The 22,114-nt window shown below is 54.8% G+C and overlaps 1 protein-coding gene across 2 annotated transcripts in view, besides 2 other annotated features; it reads right to left on the bottom strand.

Moving 5' to 3' along the window:
• Window positions 1-312: 312 nt before the first annotated feature.
• The window catches only part of MPPED1 (metallophosphoesterase domain containing 1), a 95,835-nt gene continuing 74,033 nt past the window's right edge, over window positions 313-22,114 (bottom strand). For both annotated transcript variants that reach the window (NM_001044370.2, NM_001362786.2), the window contains exons 5-7: window positions 9,811-9,926; window positions 5,404-5,517; window positions 313-2,663 (exon numbers count right to left, since the gene is read on the bottom strand). In NM_001044370.2, coding sequence (NP_001037835.1) covers window positions 2,545-2,663; window positions 5,404-5,517; window positions 9,811-9,926 — 349 coding nt within the window. In that variant the 3' untranslated portion in view covers window positions 313-2,544. The remainder of the gene's footprint in view (window positions 2,664-5,403; window positions 5,518-9,810; window positions 9,927-22,114) is intronic.
• Window positions 19,431-20,204: an enhancer, noted in NCBI's record as "H3K4me1 hESC enhancer chr22:43883837-43884610 (GRCh37/hg19 assembly coordinates)". NCBI's record gives its function as "activates a minimal SCP1, AML or CMV promoter by ChIP-STARR-seq in primed H9 embryonic stem cells {active_cell/tissue: H9 hESC(primed)}" and the evidence as "EXISTENCE:reporter gene assay evidence [ECO:0000049][PMID:30033119]".
• Window positions 20,205-20,978: an enhancer, noted in NCBI's record as "H3K4me1 hESC enhancer chr22:43883063-43883836 (GRCh37/hg19 assembly coordinates)". NCBI's record gives its function as "activates a minimal SCP1, AML or CMV promoter by ChIP-STARR-seq in primed H9 embryonic stem cells {active_cell/tissue: H9 hESC(primed)}" and the evidence as "EXISTENCE:reporter gene assay evidence [ECO:0000049][PMID:30033119]".

Here is a 22,114-nt window from a genome sequence, read left to right as displayed (position 1 = left end):
GGGGCTGGGCTGAACATGCCATTTCCAGGAAGAGTCCAGCGCTAAGGCCTCTGGAGGTGTTCTGTTTTGGGAGACCAGGCAGCCAAGTATTTGTACAAAAGAGGACCCAGAACTGCCCACACCACCACCTCTGGGATCCCCCCACCCCAGGGGAGGTTAAAGCAAGCAGAGGGACACCGACTGCTGCCACACAGGAGGTCTTTGGCATCCAAGCTCTGTCCAGGCCTCAGCATTCTGCAAGAGGACACCACGCTGCCACCATGTGTCCCAGACAACAGCCAGAGATGTGGAAGGAAGAGGTGCCGCGTGGACTTCTCTTTTTACAAAGACTTTATTGTCTGACATGCTTGACAAAAAAAAAAAAAAAAATTACAGCCACAATCAAGTTATGCCAAAATGATTGAGAAGCACGCCGTCATCTTCATACCTCGAGGACTTTTAATGAATTTTCTCTTAAAGTAACAGCTGCCTTCATAACTTTTCTTTTCCACATAAAAATACACCATATTCTGAAGATACCTTAGGAAAAAAATTTTTTTAAGTTTATCGTTCTTGGTCCACATAGAAATTGAGTGGAGCTGGCACTGAAAGGGCCTGCTTTTCTCCACCCGCACACATGTCCTGCGCCTGGGGCATCAGAGAGACCTCATAAACATCCCTGGCTACAGGAACCCCTTCAGCCAAACGGGATTCCTGGAGCCCTGCACCCCACGGCGCTCAGCTTCAGCCAACCCGATACAGTGCTGCTGCCAGGCTTCCAGGGACAGCAGCCCCACCCCTCGAGGAGCCCAGCTCAGTGTGGGCAGAAAAGGACTCCCAGGATGCTAGGATGCTGCACCCAGGGTTCAGGACTCCTCAGAGCTCACACCAGTTTTGAACAGGACCCTTAAAAATAAAAATACAATAAAAAGAGCCTTGGACCATGCATTGCTTTGTAGGGACATAACTTCGGGTCATGGCAAAGTGAGGGCAGTGAGGCCAGAGAACAAGGGTCAGATCCTGCCTCGGCTCCTTTTGTGCTGTGAGCCCCCAGGCAAGTTACCACACCCCTCTGGCCTCAATCGTCTCATCTCTAAAATGGGACTAAAGTACCTACCTTGAAGGACCATCTGAGGATGAAATGAGTCTATATCTGCAAAAGGGCTCACGGTAGGCTGGTTCCCAGGGCTGGGACCTGGGTGAGGGAGTGACACCCTTCTCTCAGATGTACAACGGAAAGGGGTGCAAAAAAAGTCACCAATCAGGACAAATAATACTACTTTAATGCAACGTTAAAAATCAAAATAAATGCAGAAAAAGTCCATGATGAACAAAATATTAAATAACGACAGAATCTGACCCTGAACTTGCCCATTTCTGCCTGACTGCCTGCCCCTCATCTAGGCCCTACCGGTTCCCACCACCGCCCTGGCCCCACCCCCTCCAGTCCTAATTCAAAGAAGAAAAAGAAGCTGTCCAAGGTGGGGCTGCTGGAGCCTGGGGCCCGCTCGGTCCCTGTGCCACCCTCCAATTCACAGGGCCGGCTGGTCCTGGGCTTCCTCGGCTGCAGGCATGCCAGACAGAATCCTAACGGTGCAAGGGAAGCCGCACCAAGGAACAGAACCTCACTACGGGGCAGAAAAGAGAAACACAGGACCCACTTGGTTCAATTAAGAGGGGTGCGTGCGTGCATGTGTGTCGGTGCGTGCCTGGACATGGGTTCACACCCATGGCAGGCCTGCTGCAGCCTAAGCCTGCAGACCCTCCATCCAGGCTACCGCATTCTACAGAGCAGTGTGTTCCCCGTGGGACCAAGGGTCATCCCCCCATGACTGGGAACGCTCTCACTGGTCCTGGGCACGAATGCCAGTGGCTCATTCTGTAGAACCAGCCCCCATCATCCAGGCTCCGAGTGAATGCCTAGGACACTCAGGTCATTGTTCAAGTAAACAAAAATGCCTATGGGAAGAAAAAGGGGGGAACAATGCCAGGCAAACAGCTGTGGGCCTGGCCAGGTGCGGTCTGAATTCCTGAGATGTCCCTAAATGCTCCCTCGGAGGGCCTCCGCCTTGGGCCTGTCTCCTCCCTCACTTGGGAGGAGAGAAAGGGACTGTCTGTGTGCAGCTCACGAATCCTCCCACCCACCCCAACCCAGGGGCATGCCGCCACACAGACCCGTGGTTAGAGGGAGATTTTGTGTAACTTCCAAAACCCATTCAAGAGCAGCAGCTTCCCAAACCAGGAGGGCGTCCAAGGGAGAAGAATGAAGATTTAGTCATTTCCCAAACATGACAGGGCCATGAGCTTAGTAGGTCCTTTAACGAGGTACACGCAGGATGTACACGCAGAAAAAGTAAATGAGCACAGAACCCCTGATGGGGATGCGCAGGGTCCCAACTCCAGGTGACAGAAGGCTAAAGAGTCGTTCCAAGGCCCTGACCTGCCTGCTAGGCCAGTCCCCGCAGCCAGATGGGTCGTCCAGGCAACTCAGCATGGAAGGAACAGTGGCCGGGCCAGGCCTGTGGAGCTGACACGGGCGGGCAGGGCAGGGGCAGTGGGGAGCAGTCAGGAGTTCCGGGGTGTGGGGAGGTCGATGACTATGGGCGGGTTCACGGGCTGGTAGTTCACAGTGCATACGGACGCATTCACATAGGTGGTCGTCCCATCTGCCATGACACCATACCCTGGAAAGTAAGCACATGCCCATCAGGCCAGCAGCCAGAGTAGTGAGGGTGGCCAGGGGGGTGTGGCAGTCATAGGGCACTCAGCCCCTGTGGGCTGAATGTGTTTGGGGCAAGCTGGTAAACTCTCGAGGTCAGTCCCTTCATCTGTAAAATGGAGATGATAATGATACATGCCACTTCCAAGCCTGCTGTGAGGATTATATGAGATAATTATCTATGTACTGTGCTCGGCCCAGTGCCTGGCACATAAGAAGCACGCAGTGAGTCATCATCATCGACATCATCTTCACCACCATCCTCGTCACCATCACCACCACCACTGTACCACCATCATCACTATCAACATCATCATCACCACCACCCTTATCGTGATCATCACTATTTTTCACCACTACTACCACCATAATCATCACTAATGTCATCATCATCACTATCATGATCAACATCATCACCAACACCCTTATCATCATCTTCACTGTTACCTCCACCACCATTACCATCACCGTCATCATCATCACTACCTTTATCATCACCACCACCATCGCCATCACCAACATCATCAAAAATGCCATCATCATCACTATCACCATGAACAACATCACCGCCCTTATCATCACCACCACCACCACCATCATCATCATCTTCACTAATGCTATCTATCATCACTACAATCATCACCACCATCATCCCCATCACCACCATCAACATCATCATAACCAATGCCATCATCATCACTACCACAATCAACATCATCACCACTGCTCCTATTATCATCATCATTATCACCACCACCATCACCATCATTATCACCAATGCTATCATCATCACTGCCTTTATCATTGTCATCGCCATTCTCACCACCACCATCACTAGTGCCATCAACGTCACCAACATACCGCCACCATCACCATCAACATCATCATCACCAATGCCATCATCTTTGCTATCACCACCAACATCATCATTGCCACCCTTATAATTACCATTCATCACCACCACCACCATCATTCATCACCACCACCACCATCATCAAGAATGGTGTCATCACCAATGTCACCATGATCGTCATCACTACCCTTATCATTATCATCGCCACTGTTATCACCAGCATACCACCATCATCACTATCATCATCATCATTGTCATCATTGATGATGCCATCACTGATGTCATCATGATCATCACCACCAACACCACTGTCATTATTATCACCCTCATTATTATTGTATCAGCACTATCATCATCACCACAATCACCATCATCATCACCATTATCATCATCACCACCATTGCGTTTATCATTATCACCATTGTCACCACTACCATCATCATCAGTATCATCATCATCATCATTGACATTATTACTATCACCATCATCACTACCCACACCACTGTGAACATGGCCATCATCATCATTACTACTATCACTACCATCCTCTCACCATCATCACTATCATTATCATCATTGTCATGTACTTTCTCTGCCTCCCTCATACCCTCTTCTCACCACCTCTATTTGGTAGAATCCCCCTCATCCTTCAGCTCAGGTCATCTCCAAGATAGAAGGAACATTTCCCCTTCCCTGCGTGGTGCTGGGGGAGGAAGGGAGTGGTTAGTGGGTGGGTGAGGACCTATTCTTTGGAGTCCAATTGTGCCTGTCCAATTGTGTGGGGGTGTGGTTTGGGTCAAAGGCAACTTTGGATCTGATGGAGCTACATGCCCATAGTAGGGCCACAGAAAATGACAGCTATTATTATTATCCCACAGCACGTGAGCTGCCCATCTCTCCCAGGACCTCTCACATCCTGCTTTGATGACTCCTCTGTGCCTAGGGCTCCTCCAGGAGCTACTCCAGGGCCAGGTGAGGTCTGATCACTCCTTCCCCTTGACAATGAGCTGCAGAGGCCCTCAGGGAATGAATGGTTTGAGGCTTGCTTGCTTTTGAGCTGGAAAACGATCTAATATGGACCAGGCAATGTGGAGGCCTGGGGTCCCTGGTCCAACCAGACACAGGTTCCGGAGGCCAGGAGATGTCTCTGGGGGAAACCACGTCAGTCCAGACATCCCACAGCAGCCAATATGCTTCCTGGCAGGGATGTGACAGAGAGGCCTTGGGCAGGTGGGATAAATATCCAAAAGGGGCAAAAAAAGAGGCATCTGTGCCAAACTGGTGAAATGAGGCTCAGGTGAGGATGGCTGAGGTCTACTAGGGAACGCCTGCACGCAGCAACAGGCCAGGGCGTGGCCATGTGGATGATAGAACCGGAGCTGACATCACCCTCACCATCACAGGTAGTCCCTCCACACTTATTAAGCACCTATTGTATGCCAGGCCCTGGGGACAGAAGCAACAAGACAGGGCCACCAGTTTTAAGGGATTCATGGTGTGCCCACCAAATATAATGCATCCTCCATGTCACGGCTCAAATGCCCCTTCCTCTGAAAACCCCCTGCCCACCTCCCGACGGCTTCCCAGGCTGGAGGCACAGCAGAGTTGCAGGGCTCCCCGGAAGCAAAATTTACCCCCTAAGTCATGCAGGATGTTGTGATCATCTTCCTATTATTAAACATTTAGCAATAGCTCATTGACAGCCAGGGTGTGTATGGCAGTTAGCAGTTACAAAGCGAACAGTAGGAATGGGCTATTTATTTCCCTTCTGGCTGAACGAAGGGGAGGTCCTGCTGGAGGGTCCATTAGGAGCCCCTAGCCCGTGAGGTGCCTGTCTCCGCTACGTACTGACCTTCGTGGATGTGGCCAAAGACATGTAACCGCGGCTGGACGCGCCTCTGCACCGTGTTGAGCAGCTCCACACAGCCCACCCGCTGCATCTTCTTGGGGACCCAGTCCAGGAAGCCTGGTATGGGGGAGACAACAGGAGGCCATGACGCGGTCTGTCCCAGCCCCTCACTGCCCCACGCCTAGCAGCAGCTTCTGCAGCCTGGAGAAGGCATGGGGCTTCCGGACTCCGGCTTTGCACCACTCTCCCCTAGCAAGCTCTCCGGAACCCTGCCCTGCCTCAGGCTTCAGGGACTGAAACCATTCAGGACCTTGCAGCCTCACCCTCCTCCTCCATAGGGCTGCACTGAGGGCCTCCTTGAAAGAGCTCAGCATGGGCCAGGCACTTGGGGTGGGGTGCTCAGTAACTGCTGGCGCCCCCCAGACCATCTGTGCTCGAGTGGCCTCAAGGGTGGCATCCGCCCACCGCAGAGATCAGCAAACGGAGGCCAGAGAGGGACGGGTGAGTCCCAAGGGCAGGCACCCTGGTGGTTAGTTGCAGAGCAGGGCGTCCTGATACACAGCCCAGGAGTGAGATTTCCATGTCAGAAACTTCCTAAACAGCACAGACTCATGAGCAGAAACTTCCTCCGTGGGTGCAGCATCGCTCACGTGGCTGCGCCTGCGCCTGCCCCCGCTGCCAGCCTCCTGGAGCCGCCCAGATGGTGGCTGCTTATTATCCTCACATGGCTACACAAACGGAGAATAATTGATTACTCCAAGCAAACAATTAGGGTTCATGGCGGCCCCTCTCTGTTTGGGTGAGCAGAACAGGTTTCTGCAACTGCCAAGAAGGGGACAGGGGAAGCTTCCACTCAAAGGCCCAAGCAAGCAGCAACAGGCATAAAGAGAAGACACAGACAGAGATAGAGACAAAGATGAGGGAGGAGGAGGAGGGGGAGAAGGAGGGGAAAGCAGAGAAAAGAGACCAGGAATGGGTTGGGCACAGGCTGGGGGCAGACACTGGGTTGAAGTCCCAGGCTCTGCTGCCTACTGGCTGTGTGACCTTGGACAAGCCACTTAACCTCTCTGTGCCTCCGTTTCATCCAATAGAGTGCTGGGCTGGGCACTGGGATCCCACCATGCATGAGGCCGGATCCTTCTTCACTTCTGGAGTGTGTGTTGTGGGGAGGGTCTCCAGCACCTCGGCACCCTGGCGCACACAGTCCGGAGATGATGCAAGGGCAGCACCAGCTGGAGTGCCTGGCACATGGGCAGCCCCGAGACAGGAGCCGGGCGGTGTGTGAAGGGGCCCGGGCGGGGCGTCTGGAGAGCAGGAAGCCAAACGACACCATGTTTGGAGAGATGGATGGATGGAAAGGAGAGAGGGAGAGAAAGAAGGAAGAGGGAGGAGGGGAGGAAAGATAGAAGAGGGGAGAAGGAAAAAGGAGGAAAAAAGGAGATATGGAAAGGAGGGAATGAAAAGAGAAGGAAGAGAACAAGATGCCTTTGCTGCTGAGCCTCACTGTCAGTGACCAATGACACCGAATGTTGACGGGAACCGTCCCAGGACTCAGGCGGCTTCAGGTGGGGGTGAAACAAACCCGGCTACAACCTCTCTGTGCTGCTTAAATCACACCAGGGCCCAGGCCTCCGCTTCCACCTGTGAGGGTGAGGCTGACAAAATCTTCCTTTCCTGGACTTTGTGAGGAGGCAGAGGGGCCGTGGCGCACTGGCTGGGTAGGGGCACAAAGTGGTATCAGGATTTTCTTCCTGAACTGGTGTGTGAGCCAGTGACACTCAAGCTGTCCTGCGCCTCACCCCACACCCTCCCCCATGGCCTCTGCCTGGGACACCCTTCCCCTCCCCTTGTCTACCTCACCCTCCTCCTCCAATTCTGGGATCACAGCTTGTGCAAGTCCCCCATGCAGCCTAACAGCAGTCATCTCTCCTGACTCCTCAAGCTTCCCTCACCCCCGAATGTGTCCCACGGGGCTTGGCTGTTCCTGAACCCTCTACCCTGCAGCCTGGGGGCCCTCCAACCCAGGCACACACTGCAGGAGTTATCCTGGACCAGTGTCACCCAGCACAGGGGCTGGTCCCAAGCACTGAGGGAGTGATGGTGGGTTTCTGGAGGTGGCGGTGGGAGCAAGACACTGATATGGGCCGAACTGCTGGGAGACTGAACTTCATTCAGAGGACTGAGGGAACCACAGAGGGTCACAGAGGGGTGGCATGGCACACATAAGGATACAGAAAACTCCCTCCTGCTGATGTAAAGCGAGTGGACTGGAAGGGGCAAGACCTTCGCCTCCACCACCTCCACCACCTCCGTCACCACCTCCACCACCACCTCCATTACCACCTCCATCACCACCACTACCACCTCCATCACCATCACCACCACCACCCCCATCACCACCTCCATCACCATCACCACCACCACCTCCACCACCACCATCACCACCTCCATCACCATCACCACCACCACCCCCATCACCACCGCCACCTCCATCACCATCACCACCATCATCACTGCCACCTCCATCACCACCTCCACCATCACCCCCACCACCTCCATTACCACCTCCATCACCATCACCACCACCTCCATCACCATCACCACCACCACCCCCACCACCTCCATTACCACCTCCATCACCACCTTCATCACCCCCACTACCACCTCCATCGCCATCACCACCACCTCCATCACCATCACCACCACCACCCCCATCACCACCTCCCTCACCACCACCACCACCTCCACCATCACCACCGCCACCTCCATCACCATCACCACCACCACCCCCATCACCACCTCCATCACCACCACCACCACCACCTCCACCATCACCACCACCACCTCCATCACCATCACCACCACCACCCCCATCACCACCTCCATCACCACCACCACCACCTCCACCATCACCACCACCACCTCCATCACCATCACCACCACCACCCCCATCACCACCTCCATCACCACCACCACCACCTCCACCATCACCACCGCCACCTCCATCACCATCACCACCACCACCCCCATCACCACCTCCATCACCACCACCATCATCACCTCCACCACCACCATCACCACCATCACCCCCATCACCGCCACCCCCATCACCACCACCACCACCTCCACCATCATCACCACCACCATCACCACCACCACCACCTCCACTACCACCACCACCTCCACTACCACCACCACCACCTCCACCACCACCCACCATCACCACCACCTCCATCACCACCACCATCACCTCCATTACCACCATCACCACCCCCATAACCACCACCACCACCTCCATCACCATCACTACCTCCCACCACCACCACCTCCCACATCACCACCACTTCTATCACCACCACCATCACATCCATCACCACCCCCATCACCATCACCACCACCTCCATCACCATCACTACCTCCCACCACCACCACCTCCCACGTCACCACTTCTATCACCACCACCATCACATCCATCACCACCCCCATCACCATCACCACCACCTCCATCACCACCACCACCCCATCCCCACTGCCACTACCTCTATGACTATCACCACCTCCCACCACCACCACCACCATCTCCACCTCCCACCATCACCTCCGTCACCACCATCACCTTCATCACCACCACCTTCATCACCTCCACCACCATCACCACCTCCACCACCACCACCTCCACCATCACCACCTCCATCACCACTACCTCCATCACCACCACCTCCACCATGACCATGGGAGAGAGAGAGAAGACATTGTCCTGGACTGAGGCAGGGTCAGCAGCTTGAAGAGAAGGGGGAGTGGGAGGCAGTTTGGAGGTGGAATGGGAGGGATGTGGTGATGGCCAGGCTGTGGGAATGAGGAAAGGAAGGGAACTGAGAGAGCCCCCAGATGGGACAGTAGGGGTGGAGGAGGCAGTATGCAGATGAGGGGATGACCTCAGTGTGGATTGGGTGGTGGGGTGGGGGCAGAGAGGAGAGATGGGAGGTGGTCTACAGGCCCTGGGGATGTTGGGCTGGGTGGGGGTGAGGAAGTGGGGACCCCAGGTTTCTGAGGGAGTTAGGGCTGCCCGGAGGAAGCCCTGTGCAGGGCTCTGGTGATTTTCAGCACCCGGGACTGGGGTCTGCAGAGGCATAAGCCGAAGCTCCAGGGTCCCACCTGTCAAATGGGCAGGTGATTCTGGCCTCCTGTGCTGTTGTGAGGAGCCCACAAGATAACAAGTCAAGCCCCCTGCTCTCAGTGGGCACTCAGGAAATAAGAGGGACCATGGGGCGACGTGTCCTCAGTGCCCCAGCAAGTGGGACTCAGAACCCCTCCAGGGCTCCCCTATACAGGCCCAGCCAGCCCCCCATCCCAGAGCCCACCCACCAGCCCAGATGGGCGAGCTGGAGGGCCAGGCCAGCAGAGCCTTACCCAGTGGTGGTCCATGGGTTATCAGGATGTCTACGCCTTCGGGAATGAGGTTCCATTTCTCCAGCAGGGCTTGGCCTCGCGGGAGGTTGAAGCCCCAGCCGTAGAACCAGGGCTGCCTGTAGAAGAAGTGCAGGTGTTTGAGGGAGGGCGGGTGAAAGTACAGGGTGGTCAGAGGGAATGCGGAGCTCCCCACGGGCCAGGGGGCCCTCAGGACCAGCTCGCTACCTGGAGACCCAGGGAAGGTCTCCACCTAGGGAAGGCAGGGACTCACCAGGACTTTGACCCACTGGCGGTCTGTGGGTCCCCAGGCAATTCTCTTTCCTCTCTCCTTCTGCTTACCTGCAGTTTCTGTTTTTCTGTAAGTATTATTTACATAACCAAAAAAAAAAGAAAGCTAAATACATATATATATATACATATACATATATATATCAGCTTCTTCCTAAGACCTTTCCTGCTCCAAGCCTTTCTAAGAAAATCCACAGGGAACATTATACATTCTCCAATACTCCCACCCCCACCCCCAGGAAGATGCCCCTCCATCCTCCCTCCCCCAGGTGGGGTGTGTGGACCCCCAGTCAAAAGAGAGCAGATTCCAGGTGCGGGCTGCTCATTCTTGCTTATACTGGAAGCTCTGGCCAGGGAGTCCAGGTAGAGTTGAGCCCATCCCCAGCTGGGAGGGTGGGGCCAGGTGGACCTAGACCATTATACGCAATCCCAGCCTGGTAGCCTGCTCCCCAGCCAAGACCTGGACCCATCAATGCCAGATATTCCCCCTAGTCAGTTCAGTGGTGAACACATCACCTAGATCCTTCCAATTGCAGGCAGTCTCTTTTCAAGAAGAAAAGTGGATACTATCATCCCTGTGTATAAACAGTGAGCTTCTAGCCTTGGGAGCTGTGGGCAGCTGTCGGCAGCTGTTAAGTTACCCAAGAAACAGCTGGATCAAACTGGACCAGACACCCACCCTACCTCAGCACTTCCCAATTATACGGGCCAACACAAAGCCATTTGAACTGGGTTTTCAGTCATTTGCAACAAAAGCATCAGAATCATCCCGTAGGTTTCACCCATACATGATTCCACAAGAATGGGCCCTTTATGTCAATAAAGTAACCAGCATCACCACCTCCAACACCGCCACCTCCACCATCACTAGCACTTCTACCATCAACAGCACTTCCACCACCACCTCCATTACTAGTACCTCCTCCACCACCACCACGTCCATCACCACCTCCATCACCACCATCTCCGCCACCACTACCTCCACCACCACCTCCACCACCACCATCTCCACCACCACTACCTCCACCACCACCACTTCCACCACCACTACCTCCACCACCACCACCTCCACCACCACTACCTCCACCACCACTACCTCCACCACCACCACCTCCACCACCACTACCTCCACCACCACCACCTCCACCACCACCACCTCCACCACCACCACCTCCACCACCACCATCTCCACCACCACTACCTCCACCACCACTACCACCACCACCACCTCCACCACCACCACCTCCACCACCACCACCTCCGCCACCACCACCTCCACCACCACCTCCACCACCACCATCACCACCACCACTACCTCCACCACCACCACTTCCACCACCACTACCACCACCACCACCACCACCACCACCACCACCACCACCATCTCCACCACCACTACCTCCACCACCACCACCTCCACCACCACCATCTCCACCACCATCTCCACCACCACTACCTCCACCACCACCATCTCCACCACCACCACCACCATCTCCACCACCACTATCTCCACCACCACCATCTCCACCACCACCATCTCCACCACCATCTCCACCACCACTACCTCCACCACCACCATCTCCACCACCACCACCACCATCTCCACCACCACTACCTCCACCACCACCACCTCCACCACCACCACCTCCATCACCACCTCCACCACCACCATCTCCACCACCACTACCTCCACCACCACCACCTCCACCACCACCACCTCCATCACCACCTCCATCACCACCATCTCCGCCACCACTACCTCCACCACCACCTCCACCACCACCATCTCCACCACCACTACCTCCACCACCACCTCCACCACCACCTCCACCACCACCATCTCCACCACCACTACCTCCACCACCACTACCTCCACCACCACCTCCACCATCACCACCTCCACCACCACCACCTCCACCATCACCACCTCCACCACCACCACCTCCACCACCACCATCTCCACCACCACTACCTCCACCACCACTACCTCCACCACCACCTCCACCATCACCACCTCCACCACCACCACCTCCACCATCACCACCTCCACCACCACCATCTCCACCACCACCACCATCTCCACCACCACCATCTCCACCACCACCACCTCCACCACCACTACCTCCACCATCACCTCCACCACCACTACCTCCACCACCACCATCTCCACCACCACTACCTCCACCACCACCATCTCCACCACCACCACCACCATCTCCACCACCACTACCTCCACCACCACCACCTCCACCACCACCACCTCCATCACCACCTCCACCACCACCATCTCCACCACCACCACCACCATCTCCACCACCACTACCTCCACCACCACCACCTCCACCACCACCACCTCCATCACCACCTCCACCACCACCATCTCCACCACCACCACCTCCACCACCACTACCTCCACCATCACCTCCACCACCACCATCTCCACCACTACTACCTCCACCATCACCACCTCCACCACCACCACCTCCACCATCACCTCCACCACCACCATCTCCACCACCACCATCTCCACCACCACCACCTCCACCACCACCACCACCTCCACCACCACTACCTCCACCACCACCTCCACCATCACCAGCACTTCCACCACCACCTCCATTACTAGTACCTCCTCCTCCACCACCACCACCTCCATCACCACCTCCATCACTACCACCACCATCACCACTACCATCACCACCATCACCTCCATCAACACCTCCATCACTACCACCACCATCACCACCACCATCACCACCATCACCTCCATCACCACCTCCATCACCACCACCACCACCTCCATCACCACCTCCATCACCACCACCACCTCCACCACCACCACCACCTCCACTTCCATCACCACTTCCATCATCACCACCTCCATCACACCTCTGTCATCACTACCAGCACCTCCATCACCACCACCACCACCTCCTACCACCTCCATCACCACCACTACCTCAATCATTGCTATGATCTAAATGTTTGCATCCCCCCAAAATTAATATTTTGAAATCTAATCCCCAAGGTGCTAGTACTAGGAGGTGGGGTCTCTGGGAGGTGATGAGGTCATGAGGGTGGAGCCCTCTCAAATAGGATCAGTGCCCTTATAAGGAGAGGCATGAGAGATCCCTTGCTCCTTCCACTATGTAAGGAAACAGCAAGGAGGTGCCATCTATGAACCAGGAAGTGGGTCCTCACCAGACATGGAATCTGCCAGCACCTTGATCTTGGAATTCTAGATTCCAGACTGTGAGAAACACACTTCTGTTGTTTAGAATCCACCCAGTCTATGGCATTTTCTTGTAGCAGCCCGAATGGTCTAAGACAGCCACCATCACCACCACCACCACCACCACCACCACCACTGTGAATCAAATTGTGTCCCCCAAAAAGACATGTTGCCAACCCCCAGGACCTGTGAATATGACCTTATTTATAAAGAGGTTCTTTGTAGATGAAATCAAGCTAAGATGGGGTCATACTGGATTCGTGTAGGTCTTACCTCCAATGACTGGTGTCCTTAAAAGAGGGCCATGTGATAACATAGAGAAACTGGCAGAGGGAAGGACACCAGGTGACAATGGAGGTAGAAACTGAAGTGACACTTCCACAAGCTAAAGAACAACCAGGATCACCAGCAACCATCAGAAACCACAACAGTGTGGCCAAGGATCACCAGCAACTAGCATCACCAGCAACCATCAGAAGCCACAAGAGTGTGGCCAAGCATGGTGGCTCATGCCTGTAATCCCAGTGCTTTGGGAGGCTGAGACAGGAGGATTGTTTGAGCCCTCGAATGCAAGACCAGCCTGGGCAACACAGTAAGACACTGTCTCTACAAAAATATTTTTAAAAAATTAGTCGGGCATGATGGCGCGCACCTGTAGTCCCAGCTACTCAAGAGGATGGGGTGGGAGAGGATTGCTTGAGCCCAGGAGGTCAAGGCTGCAGTGAACTGAGATTGTGCCACTGCACTCCAGCCTGGGCAACAGAGCAAGACCCTGTCTCAAAATAAAGCAGCAGCTAGAAGAGTGGCCCGGAAGAGTTTTCCCTCAGAGCCCCCCAAAAGGAACCAATCTTGCAGAGGCCTCTCTAGGCTTCTAGCCTCCAGAACCGTGAGAGAGTGAATTTCCGTTGTTTTCGCCACTGGATTTGATCCTCAGTTACACAGCCCTACATAGTAATGCAATTGCCATCCCCACATCACCTCCCCGCCTGCTGCCCTGGGACGACCTTCACCCCTGCAGCACTGTTGGTCAGACAGGTCTCCTTCTACATGGTTTGTAGATGAGAAAATTGAGGACCAGGGGTGGGAAAATAAAAATAGTCACCAGCATTTCCTGTGCACCTACTGTTCTGCCAGGCCCCAAGTATGTACATTACTGGGATGGGCTCAGCTGTTACAAGAACCCCGTGAAAGAGGGACTAGCATTATTCCCCTTTTACAGATGAGGACACTGAGGCTCCCAGCAGTGAGATGGCACAGGACTTGGGTCCTGGCGTGCCGGCCCCCAACAGGGTGCCTCACTACCACTCTCCCGCCACCACATGCTGTGAGAGTTGGTGGAGGCTGGGGGAGGGGTGGGCTTTGCCATTGCCAGTGCCTCTATCACCACCTCCATCACCAGCACCAGTGCTCAAGGCTGCCACTTAAATCCCTCCCTGGGCCATGCACTGTTCCGTGGGGTGACTGACACCCCTGGCTGTTAACCCAACATACTACCCTGTTGGCAGGTGCCCAATGCACCTCCTTGGAACCCCATTTGAAAACCCCAACTTAGTCCTATGCTGGCAGGTCCTGGACTAGAAGATGGAGGTTTGGCGAGGGAATGGAAAGTGCCCAGGTTCACACAGTGGGTCAGTGGAGAAGTCATTCTCAAACCCAGATCTGATGTTCTCTCCCCACTGCCCCACCCTGCCTTCAAGCCTACAGAGCCATCTCCTGGGACACAGGGCTTGTGACAGAGGAGGATGGGTGGCCACACTGGTTATTTGGGGTCAAAGGCCTTTTCATTGTTTCAGACACCAGCCCAGGAGACACGCAAATCTATGTTTAACGAATGATGGTGGGTGAGAGGGGACTGAATTAATGAATAAATTGTTAACAGGATGTTGAGCAGGACTTTACCTGTTCTTGGGATTGCAGCCAAAATGCCAAAGCTGAAACCGATCCCCCTCATTTGAAAGAAAAGCCCCAGAACCCCCAGGGGAACGTACTAAAAGCAGGCAGAACACACCAGACCACCACCTCCCCAGTCCCCTACCAGCCAAGCTCTGGGCCTTGAGGAAGAGGGCTGTCGCTCCTGCCCGGTTCTTGGGGGAGAAGAAGAAAGCAAGTCCCCTACACCCAGCCATGAGCAGGCTCCAGGAGAGCCCCTTGCACAGGTGGGGGCCTGGGGAATGAGACTGGCTGTGCTTTCTGGGTTGTGCCTGGGGATCTGCCCCCAGGCCTGTGAGAGGAAAAATTAAGTGTGAGGGGCAGGGCACAGAAGAGCTGCCTGCACCCCCAGTATGGGCTCTCTCAGGGACCCCCACCCACAGGCAGTGCCCACCAATTGAGGAAACCAGGCAGCTGTGGCTAAGGAATGGCCTCTGGGTGGGCAGCATCAAGGACAGTGGCTAATCCCATTAGTGGGCACCGTCTCCCTCAGACACATCCACACAGGCCTGCAGGAAGCCAAGATTCTCTCTGCAGAAATACGTATCACCCCTGACATGCACACACATGATTTTACACCCAACTGTGAGCTCATCTTGCAGTTAGACCTAGGTTACAATGGTCCACTCCTTACCACCTGTGTGATCTTGAACAAAGAACTTAACTTCTATGCCCCAATTTCCCATTTGTGAAGTGGGGATAATACTCAATACGGCTGTTGAAATGACTAAATCAGTTAATCCATGTAAAGTACTTAAAACGGGCCTGGTACACAGTAAGTATTCAACACATTGCAAGTTCATCATCCCCATCACCTCAATTATCCCTATAATCACCCCCAGCACCACCTCCATCACCACCACCTCCACCACCTCCATCATCACCAACATCATCACCACCACCACCTCCATCACCAGCACCTCAATCATTACCACCACCTCCATCACCACCGCCTCCATCATGACCACCACCACCAGCACCTCCATTACCACCACCTCCAACACCACCACCTCCATCATCATCACCATCACCATCACCACCACCTCCATCACCAGCACCTCAATCATTACCACCACCTCCATCATCACCACCATCACCACCACCTCAATCATTACCACCACCTCCATTACCACCTCCATCACCACTACCTCCATCACCATCACCACCACCAGCATCATCTTTATCACCACCACCTCCATCACCACCACCACCTCCATAACCACCACCTCCATCACCATCACCACCACCTCCATAACCACCACCTCCATCACCATCACCACCACCTCCATCACCAACACCACCATCACCACCACCATCATCTTCATCACCACCTCCATCACTACCACCGCCACCACCTCCATCACTACCATCACTACCACCACCTCCATAACCACCACCTCCATCATTACAACCTCCATCACCACCACCACCACCTCCATCACCACCACCGCCTCCTCTATCACTATCACCACCATCATCTCCATCACCTCCACCATCATCACCACCACCTCCACCATCATCACCACTACCATTATCAACATCAACATCATCACTCTCATCACCACCATCACCATTACCATCATCATCACCATCATACACCACCATTATCAATATCACCACCATCACCATCACCTCCTATATCACCACTACCATCATTATTGCTATCATCATAATTATCATGGAGCCCTCCTGAGACTCACCCACGGAGCCTGAATGAAAAACCTTTGGCCTACAGCAGGGTCTTTCAAATTGCATTTTGATGAATGGCAACAGCATTTTTTTAAAAAAAGAATAGAAAACATCAGCTCCCCAAGATTTGAGAGTCCATTGAGCCAGGAAAGGGATACTTCAGTTAAATATATTTCTATTTAATTAGCCACCCACATCCACATGGACTGAGTCACAGAGTAAAATGCTTTCCTTCCGCGGTTCCTAGTGGAGAAGAGCCGACAGCGTCTCACTGGCAGCTCCCAAGGCTGCCCCAGTTCTAACCTGCTGAGTTCACAGCTGGAATTTTCTGATGCCGCGGTCCCAGACACATTCAGAGCCCCACTGGCTGAACCAGGCAGGTAGGGGGAATGGGTAAGGTGCTTCTGGGAAGGACTCAGTGGCTTAGAAGCCACTTAGGGTCCTCCCTGGAGCCCCAGCCCCATCAGCCAACAGAAAAACAAGCAACACATTTCTGGTGGTGCCTTCCAAACACAGCTTCCATTTTTCAAAAATCTGATCAAATATTTACAAGACAGGAGGAAGCCTCATCAGTATGGAGAGAACACGTCTGTTGGTTCCCGAGAGCCACGGCAGGGGGCAGTTATTTGAAGGAAACACTCGGAAACATATCAGAGACCCTGTGGACCCCCAGGAGCTGGCCCCTGGTAGAGCCGCTGCCTGTCCCACCTTCCCCTCACCCAACACCAAGGAGCCTTCCTCTAGGGGTGACAGTTTCCCGCCAGCTTCTTGGAAACACATGACCTCAAATCTTGGGGAGCCGGAATCTGCCCTGTTCCCCCACCCCAATGCCCAGAGAGGTTGTTCCACTTCCCAGGGTCACACAGGGAGGCCCAGGCAGAGCTGGGTGAAGAACCAGATCTCAACAGGGCAGCGGGTCTGGAATTTGTTCCTTTTTCCCTCCCCATCACACCCTTGCCCATTTGGGGAGCCATGAGAACATCTCCAAATGCATAGAAGGACCAGACTTGCCTGCAGGATCTGGGGACATGGGGGCAGCTGACACCACAACATTGGGTCCGGGGGCCCAGAGCCTGCCTTGTTTTCCTCTACTGGGTAGAAAGGGCACTGAAGTGGGCATCGGACACCCCAGTTCTGCCCCTGGCTGCTCACTGCACCTCTTCCAGCCTCGGTTTCCTCCTGTGTAAAGATGGGGTTAATGATGCCTCTGTCCCCAGTCCTCTTGCTCTCCTCTGTGTCCCACTGCCTGACGCAGGGGAGGAAAGGAGGGAGGAGGAGAGCAGTTAGGAGGATTAGACGGCACCACCACTGTGAAAATGCCTTCTAAATACCCGGGAGCTCCATCAATGGGAAGAGGTGATGTTCCAGCTTTTATTAGAATGTTGGTGGACAGGGGCCGGGTGCAGCGGCTCACGCCTATAATCTCAGCACTTTGGAAGGCCGAGGTGGGTGGATCACCTCAGGTCAGGAGTTCGACACCAGCCTGGCCAGTGTGGTGAAAACCCGTCTCTACTAAAAATACAAAAATTAGCTGGGCATAGTGGCACATGCTTGTAATCCCAGCTACTCAGGAGGCTGAGGCAGGAAAATCACTTGAACCCAGGAGGCAGAGGTTGCAGTGAGCTGAGATCATGCCACTGCACTCCAGCCTGGGCGACAGAGCGAGACTCCATCTCAAAAAAAAAAAAATGTCAGGGGACAGGAGGAGTCAAGTCATGCACAAGACATCCAGAAGAGACACTTCCCAGGACAGACTGCTCGCTGGGGAGCACCATCCCCAGGCTGGGAAAGGGGGACTTCTTAAAGGCAGGCAGGAGCAGGTGGGTGGGCACGACTGAGTAGACCCCTTGGGGTGATCTCACTCCTAGAGGCCTCTGAGCCACACATGAGGCCTGGACAGCCCCCGGCCTCCTGTACAACATTCATGGAAACCACCATCAGGCTCTGCCCTGGGCAGAGGAGACAAAAGAAGCAGCCCCTCCTGGAGGCGAAGTGCGAAGAGGTCCTCCCCACATGCTGTGTGTGGGGATGAAATGACCCTCTCCATGTCCAGTGAGACCTGGCAGACCTGGCAGGTGGGATCAACCACCGTGACCGGCAGGCCCGAAGTCCACGTGGCCCCTGGTGTTTCAGAGGTTAGGGCAGACAAGGGCTCCAGGGGCCCAGTCAGCCCTGATCAAGCCCACCCCTCACTGCCCACACTGCCAACATGGTCTGAGACTCACGAATGCCTGAGATACGACGCTGAGGTGCCCCAAGAGCCACTGTACTTGTTGCCAACACAACCCAGTGCCTGGACCCAACCTCACCACCCTGAGGGTCCAGGATCCCCAGTGCCAGCCCCACTGTGCGGGGCACACCACAGCGCCTGAGGAGGGCGGACGGATGCGAATTCCCGCTAAGCCATGGAAGGCGGCTTTATGTCCTGAATTTCTGTCTTTCTGTTCTAAAGTAACCATTGGAATAATTTTCTTACAGAATGATAGTTGCCATGACAACCAGAGCAAATTTTCCTTTTCTGAAACAGATGTCTCATTTAGTTGAAAATTAGAATGTGAACAAACCCATGGGAAAAATTAATTCAAACTTTAACAGAGCGCTGAATACAATGTAATCTCTCAGAGGTTAACCCCTTAACAGCTTTTTTGTGCTCTTATGGTAACCTTCGAGTCCCGTCTAATTAAGCCTGCTTAGCCAATATAAATGACCTCCTCGTGGCCAATCGTTAAACAGTCTCCTGCTGAAGCGTGAATTCCAGGTTCCTCAGCCGCAAACAGGGAAGCGGGGAGACACTCGTCTATAGGAAATGGCAGAAGCCGAGCCTACCCTGCTCGGGTTCTCTGCCTCCCCAGGTAGGGTACACAGCTGCTGGGTAGGTCGTGTCCCCAGGAGTCACTGTAGCACCCTGGAGTACAGCCATCCCTGGCTGCGCCCCATTTCCTGGAGTGCTGGGGCCTTGGGGGGCCCTGGGAAGTGCTGAGCACACAGGCACACCCGGGCCGGGGCATGAGGCTGAGGGCGGCGTAGGGGCCGCCCTCAATGGGACACAGAGCAGACACCCACACAGATGCAGTGCCCACGGCCTCTCCAGGAACAGCCAGACTCAATCCTCACACCCCCCCAAGAGAGGCAGCTGCCACCATGGCCTCCACTCTACAGATGCAGAAACTGAGATGGAGAGAGGTACCCACGTGACACAGCCAGGGCTCAAACCCGGAATGCAAGTTCCAGGGCCTATACTCTATGTGTCCATCCCAGAGTGATGAAAATGTGACCAGGAATCAGCCTCGCGCCACCCGCCCCACCGCCCTGCCCACAGCAAATCCCCTTAAGCAGTCGCTGTCACGTCTAGTAGCTCAGTTCATCCTCAGGGCAAAACAGTTGGGAGGCCCGCCCGTTTCAGAGACAAGGAAACGGAAGCACAGAGAAGTCAAGCAGTGTGTCCGAGGGCATGGGCCAGGGCTCAGAGCTCCTGCGTCCTGTGCCCAAGCTGGCAGCTGACACACAGACAATTCCTGGGGTGCCAGGCCACAGGCTCTCCCTCTCCCAAGATGACTTCCTGCCTGCTCCTCTGAGCTCCCTGACCCTTGCCAGTTCCCCTCTTAACCCCGACTGGACAGAGGGGAAGAGGCCTGCACCCCTGGCTCCTAGGACCCCACCCACACATTTACTGCATGTCATTCCTCCACTCCAGCGCCTCCCATGGCTCCCTGCTGCTTCCAGGACAAGCCCAGCCCTCGGCGTGGCACACGGGGCTTTAGGATCTGCCCTGCCCACCTTCCAGGTCATTCTGTTCAGGATCCCCACGGAGCTCACCACCCATGTCAACCTTAACCATCCACTTCCAGCTTCCTAAACACAGTCTGGCCTTTCTGTACCTCCAGGTTTTGCTTGTGCTAGTTCAGAAATCTGAAATGCCCTTCGTAGCCTCTCCCATCATCCACGACCCGTATTTTATTAAGGACCGGCTCAAAGGCCACCTCTTCCAGCAGTTTCTCTTGATCACCTGCCTCCCCCAGCACAGGTGTCCCCTCTCCACCCTGACTGAGGTCCATCCCTGAACCCCTCCTGCCCAGGCCGGCTTCAGGGAGGGGTTGCTCAAGACGGCCATGAATGAATGAACGAAGAATGAAATGAACAAGCAGGTGCTCTACCCGACAGGAAGGTGGGAGGAACTACACACTAGCCCTCTTCACTCTGCACCATCCTGCCAGGAGCCTCACCTCAGAGTCCCTGACAGTCAGGAAGCCCCAAGACCCATATCAGCGATGAAAACAGTCACGAGAACTCTCTGAGACCTCTGCCATCTGCTGAGTGTCCCATTCTCTCTCCCTCTCCCATGAACCTGCACCGGAGACTTACGTGTCCATTTTACAGATGAAGCCTCAGAGGTAAACCCAGATCCAGGATGCTCACACCCCTCTGCTGCATCTGGACCCCCAGGAAGGCTCACCTCCCCTGGGGGCCCCTCCCAGCCTCCCCAGGGCCCCCATTTCCCGGGGTGCAGGCTGAGTGCTGGCAACTCTGCTGCCTGCTGGGGTGGCCACCACCATGAAGGTCCTGTGGAGGAAGAAGGGCCTTTTACAGGACCTGCCAGCAGCCAGGTATTCCTATACTTCCTCCTCTTGACAATCCTCTGAGGATAGCTTTGCTGTCTCTACTCTACAGGAGCTGCAGCTCCAAGCAGGGGTGTGACATTTTCCAGCCATGTGGCTGCTGCAGTGGCCCCTGAGCTTTCAGAGGAGCCTGTCCAGGTCCAGGTCCAATCTCCTTCCCCCAAGGCCAAGCACTCTCTGTCCTGATCCCCACCCGTTTGTTCTTCCCACCCCAATACCTCCCCTCCCCAAAGAGGCCGGGCTTTCCAGGGAGCCAGCCATGGCCACAGCCAATATTAAGAGTGTCTCTGGTGAAGATGACATCTGTCATTGGCCCCGAGTCCTTCCCCAGACACTGCCAGCACCCCAGTGAGGCTGTATTCCCATTCTGCAACAGGGGAAACTGAGGCTCAGAGATGTCAGAGACGTGCCTGGTTCCCAAGTGAGGGCATGCCTGCATGGAGACCAGACCGGTGTGTTGACTCTTCACACCACAGCTGGTGTCTGTCTCCTGGGGATGTCCCACTGTCCGAACTTCCTCTGTCCTCTGCCCAGTCCTGGTGAGAGGGGT

This window comes from Homo sapiens, chromosome 22 (assembly GCF_000001405.40).
Source record: "Homo sapiens chromosome 22, GRCh38.p14 Primary Assembly".
Taxonomy (NCBI): Eukaryota; Metazoa; Chordata; class Mammalia; order Primates; family Hominidae; genus Homo; species Homo sapiens.
This window is presented reverse-complemented; position numbering and strand designations above follow the sequence as displayed.